Source organism: Homo sapiens, chromosome 15 (assembly GCF_000001405.40).
Source record: "Homo sapiens chromosome 15, GRCh38.p14 Primary Assembly".
Classification (NCBI taxonomy): Eukaryota; Metazoa; Chordata; class Mammalia; order Primates; family Hominidae; genus Homo; species Homo sapiens.
The window spans coordinates 83,064,329-83,071,735 of record NC_000015.10 but is presented as its reverse complement, the minus strand read 5'-3'; the positions used below and the strand labels follow the sequence as shown (position 1 = coordinate 83,071,735).

Below are 7,407 nucleotides of genomic sequence, written 5' to 3'. Positions count from 1 at the left end.
CACTTGCCTCAGCCTCCCAAAGTGCTGGGATTACAGGTATGAGCCACTGTGCCCGGCCATCTTTTATTCTTTTTTAAAAAATTCATTTATTTATATATTTTTTGAGATGGAGTTTCATTCTTGTTGCCCAGGCTGGAGTGTAATGGCACAGTCTCAGCTCACTACAACCTCCACCTCCCGGGGTCATGCAATTCTCCTGCCTCAGCCTCCCAAGTAGCTGAGATTATAGGCGCCCCCCACCACGCCTGGCTAATTTTTTTGTATTTTTAGTAGACATGGGGTTTCACCATGTTGGCTAGGCTGGTCTCAAACTCCTAACCTCAGGTGATCTGCCCACCTCGGTCTCCCAAAGTGCTGCAATTACAGGCATGAGCCACTGGGCCTGGCCAGCATCTGTTATTCTTTAATATTGACAAAAACTCCCTTGACCAAACTTTTTATTCAGGCTCCTTAGGACTTTTTTCTCAACTAGGCCTCTACCTTGGCCCATATCCTGTCTTTGGCCTGCCCAACCCAGTCTTAGAAAGAATCTCCCCACCCTTAACGCATCATCTTAGTAATTTTCCACCCATTGACCCCCCTTCACTTTGTTCATTGGCTATAAATGCCCAGCTGTTGATGTTGTTTTCAGAACTGTGCCTGATCTCTCTCTCCTGTTGCAATGCTTCCACTGCAATCATCTTGAATAAAATCTTTCTTACCATTTTAACTAGTGTCAGAATAATTTTTTTCTTTCTTCTTTTTTTTTTTTTGAGATGGAGTCTTGCTCTGTTGCCCAGGCTGGAGTGCAGCGGCACGATCTTGGCTCCCTGCAACCTCTGCCTCCCAGGTTCAAACGATTCTCCTGCCTCAGCCTCCCAAGTAGCTGGGATTACAGGCGTATGTCACCACACCCGGTTAATTTTTGTATTTTTAGTAGACATGGGGTTTCACCATGTTAGCCAGGCTGGTCTCAAACCCTAACCTCAGGTGATCTGCCTGCCTTGTCCTTCCAAAGTGCTGGGATTACAGGCGTGCGCCACTGCAACAGCCCAGAATAATTTTTTTCTTTAACAATGCCTTCAAACAGTTGTTTACACACACACACACACACACACACACACACACACACTCCAGCTTGTATAGTTGTTTTTGGTGGGAGGGTTAGACAAGTTGGTACATTATGGCTGAAACTGGAAGTCTACTTACTTCTATAACAAACATGTATTATTTTAAACATTTCCTTTAAAACAATAATAACATGTTTAACGAGCTCATCTGGAACCAGTCTTCCCTGAAGGTTATTATTTTGAAAGTTTTAATGTCCTGTATAGATAATTGAATTGTCCAGGTTTTCTAGACGAGTACATTCCTTTGATATTTTCAAAGCCACTAATAGAATTACTCATATTTTTAAACTCCACAATTATGTTTATATATCCTTTCTTATGTCCAATTCTATGTTTTTTAATCTCTTTCCTTTTAAACTAGCTAGTATAGTATACTATAGAGTGTGATCTATGAAAGGCCTGCATTAGAATACCTGGGATGACACTTAAAAGTAGTAAGTGAATTAATTTTCTGAATCATCAATGGATACTGAAATCAGTAGGTGAAAGCTTTTTGGGGAAACAGACTGGTCAAACAGTCTCAGAGCATCACCCTCATGGATTACTTATTACATAAGAATCATACACCTTCATAATGGAGGGATCTGACAGTCACAGCCTCACCAGGTCATCAAGCTTAGCATCACCAACATACGCTTTCTGAAGTGAGGCAATGAAGTACTTAACATCACCAGCATATTCTTGCCTAAAATGTTTAACCTGGAATCTAACCATGAATCATACAGAATCCACCAGACAAATCCAGATTGTGGAGCATTATACTCCACAATTCCCCGGACCTTCAAAGAAGTCAACACAGTCAATAATATGTGAACATTGATTTGATCCTGGATTGGAAAAAAAGTCATCTGTGAAAGATATTTTTGGCCAGGCACAGTGGCTCATGCCTGTAATCCCAGCACTTTGGGAGGCCAAGGTGGGCAGATCATAAGGTCAGTAGATTGAGACCATCCTGGCTAACACGGTGAAACCCCGTCTCTACTAATGACAGGTGAAGCCAACTGGACTTCTGGGTAGGGTGAGGACTTGAAGAACTTTTCTGTCTTACAAGTGGTTTGTAAAATGTGCCAGTCAGTGCTCTGTAAAAACACACCAATCAGCACTCTGTGGCTAGCTAGAGGTTTGTAAAATGGACCAATCAGCACTCTGTAAAGTGGACCAATCAGCACTCTGTAAAATGGACCAATCAGCATTCCGTAAAATGGACCAATCAGCACCCTGTAAAATAGACCAATCAGCACTCTGTAAAGTGCACCAATCAGCATTCTGTAAAATGGACCAATCAGCAGGACATGGGCGGGGACAAATAAGGAAGTAAAAGCTGACTCCACCCCCCCCACCCCCGCCGGCCCCTCCCCTCCTGCCCCCACGCCCAGAGACTGCAACCACCCGTTGGGGTTCCTTTCCATGACATAAGGGCTTTGTTCTTTTGCTCTTCAGAAGAAGTCTTTGGGTCCCTGCCATCTTAAGAGCTATAAAACTCATCAGGAAGGTCCACAGCTCCATTCTTGAAGTCAGCAAGACCACGAACCCACCAGAAGGAACGAACTCTGGACACACTAAAAATACAAAAAAAAAAAAAAATCAGCAGGCTTGGTGGCAGGTGCCTGTAGTCCCAGCTACTCGGGAGGCTGAGACAGGAGAATGGCGTGAACGTGGGAGGCAGAGCTTGCAGTGAGCGGAGATCATGCCACTGCCCTCCAGCCTGGGCAACAGAGCAAGACTCCGTCTCAAAAAAAAATTTTTTTAGAGACAAGTGGAGAAACAAATATTAACTGTACATTAAATATTATACATAGGACCAGGCCTGGTGGCTCATGCCTGTAATCCCAGCACTTTGGGAGGCCGAGGCGGGTAGATCACGAGGTCAGGACTTGGAGAGGAGCCTGGCCAATATGGTGAAACCCCGTCTCTACTAAAAATACAAATAATTAGCTGGATGTGGTGACACGCACCTGTAACCCCAGCTACTCGGGAGGCTGAGGAGGAGAATCGCTTGAGCCCGGAAGGCAGACTTCATGCCATTGCACTCCAGCTTTGGCAACAGAGCGAGACTCCGTCTCAAAAAAAAAAAAATCATATATAGATGATTTGATGATATGGTTAATTTTGTTAGGTGTGATAATGGTATCATTAGTAGCATGATGTCCCTTTGTCTTTAGGAATTGCCGGCTGGCAATGGGGAAGGGGTTGTGCATCCACTATTTCAGCCCCTACTACTTTAAGTCTCTTCCCAAGCACGTTCCTCTCCCAAAGAAGTTACCATTCTAAATGCCTAACAGCTGGAAGTCCCCTCTGGTGGTTTCACAAGTGGAGTGATTTTACAGGAGAAACCCAGGTTTGGGGTTTACTATTTACTTGACGGCATTTGTAATCTGTAAGGCTCTTCCTGCAAAGAACAGGTGTTTCCAACTATACGTGCCTGGTCAAGGACTATTTCTTGGGTTTTCTACGTTCTGCTTTTGACAGCTGACTTAACTCAGGGCCTGCCTCACTGAAGGGAGAAAAAGGAAGGCCTCGGTCCCCCAATCATGATGACCGGGTTGTAAATACTGCCTGGGAAGGGATAATACAGCCTTTTCCATTGTGTGTGTGTTTTAGTTTTTAATTTTTTAAATTTCAAGCTTAGGCAGTGGTTCAGTGCAAGGACTGAAAAGCGCTACAAGAGAAGGTGGGCAAGCACGAGGGGTTTCAAATACAGGGGTGGAAGCAGTAGAAGGAAATGTCTCTTAGGCCCAGAGGACGGAACCAAAGGGTCAATTAGAAGGGAAAGGGACCTGCGGACCTGGGGAGAGGTCACTGGGGTTCTAAGCCTTCCACCTCTGCTTCCGGAATTTCCACGGGTTTCGCGGCCTTCTGGAGCGGCGACTTGGCCACGCTTGGGGTACAGGGTTGTGGGAAGTCATGTCATCCCCTCCCTCACGTGTTCCCTTGGCCATACTTTCCTGCCCCTCCACTTCCAGGCAAAACACTCCTCGGGACAGGCCTTGGGACATGTCCCAGATACACAATGGGGGCGCTGGACTTGGTGATAAGGGGCCTGCAGGAAGAAAAAGGCAGCCGTGAGAGCCGCCTGCAGATCCACGATGCATCTTAAAATTACAAATTCTCAGGCCCTACCCCAGACCTACTGAGTCAGAATACCCAGGGCACTGAGCCAGGGGGTGGGTGCCCGTAGGCCCGGCAGCACCCAGCCTGCAGAAGCTCCACCTCCGGGAGCGCTGAGCTAGGACCAGCTCCCCACGCCCCTGCCCTGGGGCTGCCGGGAGTCCAGTCCTGTTACACCTCCCGCGGCCGCGCACAGCGGCAACCCGGGCGTGCGGGGGCGCGCGCGGTCAGGGAGGGGCCTGCGGAGGCGCGAGGCCCCCGGAAGCGCCTTTCCCGGAAGGCAGGGAGGCAGCGCCGGCCTCCGGAGGCGGCCTGGGCGATGGCGGCGGAGTTTTGTCCATAACGTGGGCAACCGCGCAGCTGGAGGATGGCCTCACTCGGGCCTGCCGCAGCTGGGGAGCAGGCGTCGGGGGCTGAGGCGGAGCCGGGCCCCGCGGGGCCGCCGCCGCCGCCCTCACCGTCCTCTCTGGGGCCCCTGCTCCCCCTGCAGCGGGAACCTCTCTACAACTGGCAGGCGACCAAGGCGTCGCTGAAGGAGCGCTTCGCCTTCCTCTTCAACTCGGAGCTGCTGAGCGATGTGCGCTTCGTACTGGGCAAGGGTCGCGGCGCCGCCGCCGCTGGGGGCCCGCAGCGCATCCCCGCCCACCGCTTCGTGCTGGCGGCCGGCAGCGCCGTCTTTGACGCCATGTTCAACGGCGGCATGGCCACCACGTCGGCCGAGATCGAGCTGCCGGACGTGGAGCCCGCAGCCTTCCTGGCGCTGCTGAGGTGAGCGGCAGCGCGGGCCGGGCCGGGCCGGGCCGGGCCGGGCCGGGCCGGGCTGGGAGATCCCCGGGGCCCGGCCTACCCGGACTCCCGGATGACCTTGGGCTGGGCTCTTCTGACCCGCCCGGGGCCTCAGTTTCCTCCCGAGCCGTTGATGCTCCGGAGGGTCGAAATCGAAATCTGTGAACCAGGACGGCTCAGTCGCCAACTAAACGTTAGTGTCTTCATTAGGCAAGCGTGCGTTTTACCATTGAAAGGCGTTTCGCATTCCAATTATGGATTGTCGCTCAGACTTCAGAATTAGACAAGTGGCAAGGATAGAGGGGCAGATCAGGTTGTCCTGATTGCCCATTTGCGAAGTTTTATGTTTTTGTTTGGGGGAAGAGAGTAGTTGAAAAATCTTGCAGGACTGATGTTTTGGGGTTATTGTCACCCCCTTCCCCCCGCTTTTTTTGAGACAAGGTCTTGCTCTGTTGCCCAGGCTGGAATGCTGTAGCGCGATCATGGCTCACTGCAGCCTCGACCTCTCCGGGCTCAGGTGATGCTCCGACCTCAGCCTCCCGAGTATTTGGGACTACAGGCACGCGCCACCACGCCCGGCTAATTTTTTTTATTTTTATTTTTGGTAGAGAGAGGGTTTCACTATGTTGCCCAGGCTGGTCTCGGACTCCTGGGGTCAAGCGATCCGTCCACCTCGGCCTCCCAAAGTGCTGGGATTACAGGCGTGAACCACCGCGCCTGGCCACTTTTTTGTTTTTGTTTTTGTTTTTCATTAACGTATTAGTTGTCAAGACCCAGGAAAGTAAATACGAAAACAGACAAGTGAGGCTTTACCTGCTTTGTGTTTCTACACACAAGGTCACATTTGCTTATAAATGAATCCCTCCCTTGATGTTAGAATTTGCTTGTTGGTTATTTGAGGATAGTAGATTGACATCTAATGAAAAGGTGATTGTTTGGCATTACTAGCTTTTAATCACAGCCATCCTGTTAGGGAGGCGTAAGAATTGTTTACCCCAATTTCACAAATGGGACTGAGGCCCAGAAGAGTCAAGTATCTTGCCCAAGGTAACAAACAGCTAACTCACACTGAAGACCATGTCTGTTTCATTATACTAAGATGGTTTTAAATAGCTGCCTGAGTAGAACGTGTTGTTATTAAAATGGCAGAGTCTTGGGTAGTACTGAAGCAAAAACAGGCAGGTCAGTGGGACAGAATTAGATACAAAGGTTCACAGTTGAATCAGAAAGATGAACAAGAAAATGAATGTAAAGTTCACACAACTAGAAACAAATAATAAGATTCCATTGACGAATGGATAAAGGACAGGATAGATAACTTAGAGAAAGAAAAAATACAACTAATTAACGAATGTTTTACCTGGCTGGTAATTAGGAAGTGCAAATTAAAAGACAGTGGTATTTTTTCCTTCCATTAATCCCACCAAAAAATTTAAAGGTAACATCTGAACAGCATTTTCTGACAAAGATGGTGGTAAAAACCCTTTTGGAAAACAGTTTGGTGCTATAGATTTTCTTTCCACACGTAAGAAGCATTCAAGTATTGCAAATTGCATACAAAAATATTTACAGCTTTATTTATAGTAGTGAGGAAGTAGTCAGCTGTAGGGAATGGTTAAACAGTGGTAGGTTCACTTGATGAGATATAATGCAGTCACTAAATATGACGGATAGCACTTGAAACTGCACCATGGTTACAACGTGAAAAGACATGGAACAAACATATACCTAGAGACCGGGATAAAAGGAAACATACCAAAATGCTAAGCAAAGTCACCTGGAGTAGTGAGATGAAAGTACCTTTTTTTCTTCTTTATTCTTTGTTTCTGATATTTTCTGTAATTTAGTTCAGTTACATTTATAAAGGGGGGGGACCTCAAAAGCTAAAATCCAGGTCATTTTAGTTTAAAGTTCACCAGGAGGATTGGGTATAGTTCATTTGGATTTTCTAGACTAGAAGTAGTTTTCAAAATGATCTGTGGGCCGTCTGCATTATAATCTTCTGGGGTGCTTATGAAATGTGTAGATCTCATCCTCATTATATACCGTAATATTTGGAGGTGAGACCTTGGTAGCATTTTTAACACTCTCCCTAAGTGATACTTATACAAACTAAATTTAAGAACCACAAATCTAAAACTATTTTGGGGCAATTTTTTACTTTGAAAAAATATTGAGATTACTAGGATAAGAATGTAGAGGAAAAATACATATTTTAATATTTTCACCGAAGCTGCTAATTAGTGCTTTCCCATCAATAGAAAGTAAGTTAATTTTAGAGTGTTTGAAATGTAGGACAGTGCAATTTTTTTTTTCACATTGTAAAACATTTTTTACATTTTTAAACTTTTTTTTCATTTTTACATTTTCAGTGTGTTTTATTTTCCTAGCATTGTATTTATCC

The 7,407-nt window shown here is 46.8% G+C and overlaps 1 protein-coding gene and 1 non-coding gene across 4 annotated transcripts in view, besides 6 other annotated features; one reads left to right on the top strand and one right to left on the bottom strand.

Moving 5' to 3' along the window:
* Positions 2,305-2,599: an enhancer, noted in NCBI's record as "tiled region #9115; HepG2 Activating non-DNase unmatched - State 9:DNaseU, and K562 Activating non-DNase unmatched - State 12:CtcfO". NCBI's record gives its function as "activates a minimal TATA promoter and a strong SV40 promoter by Sharpr-MPRA in HepG2 and K562 cells {active_cell/tissue: HepG2 | K562}" and the evidence as "EXISTENCE:reporter gene assay evidence [ECO:0000049][PMID:27701403]".
* Positions 2,351-2,400: a silencer, noted in NCBI's record as "silent region_6759". NCBI's record gives its function as "represses an Ori minimal core promoter by ATAC-STARR-seq in GM12878 lymphoblastoid cells {active_cell/tissue: GM12878}" and the evidence as "EXISTENCE:reporter gene assay evidence [ECO:0000049][PMID:35858748]".
* Positions 4,037-4,086: an enhancer, noted in NCBI's record as "active region_9970". NCBI's record gives its function as "activates an Ori minimal core promoter by ATAC-STARR-seq in GM12878 lymphoblastoid cells {active_cell/tissue: GM12878}" and the evidence as "EXISTENCE:reporter gene assay evidence [ECO:0000049][PMID:35858748]".
* Positions 4,097-4,216: an enhancer, noted in NCBI's record as "active region_9969". NCBI's record gives its function as "activates an Ori minimal core promoter by ATAC-STARR-seq in GM12878 lymphoblastoid cells {active_cell/tissue: GM12878}" and the evidence as "EXISTENCE:reporter gene assay evidence [ECO:0000049][PMID:35858748]".
* Positions 4,277-4,756: a silencer, noted in NCBI's record as "silent region_6758". NCBI's record gives its function as "represses an Ori minimal core promoter by ATAC-STARR-seq in GM12878 lymphoblastoid cells {active_cell/tissue: GM12878}" and the evidence as "EXISTENCE:reporter gene assay evidence [ECO:0000049][PMID:35858748]".
* Positions 4,321-4,401, bottom strand: MIR4515 (microRNA 4515). The gene has a single exon (NR_039740.1). It is a non-coding gene; the product is annotated as a microRNA 4515 (primary transcript).
* The window catches only part of BTBD1 (BTB domain containing 1), a 50,830-nt gene continuing 47,906 nt past the window's right edge, over positions 4,484-7,407 (top strand). For all 3 annotated transcript variants that reach the window (XR_007064459.1, NM_001011885.2, NM_025238.4), the window contains exon 1: positions 4,484-4,985. Coding sequence is in view for 2 of the 3 variants with exons in the window: in NM_001011885.2 (NP_001011885.1) it covers positions 4,585-4,985 (401 nt within the window). In the remaining variant the exon portion in view is untranslated. The remainder of the gene's footprint in view (positions 4,986-7,407) is intronic.
* Positions 4,997-5,166: a silencer, noted in NCBI's record as "silent region_6757". NCBI's record gives its function as "represses an Ori minimal core promoter by ATAC-STARR-seq in GM12878 lymphoblastoid cells {active_cell/tissue: GM12878}" and the evidence as "EXISTENCE:reporter gene assay evidence [ECO:0000049][PMID:35858748]".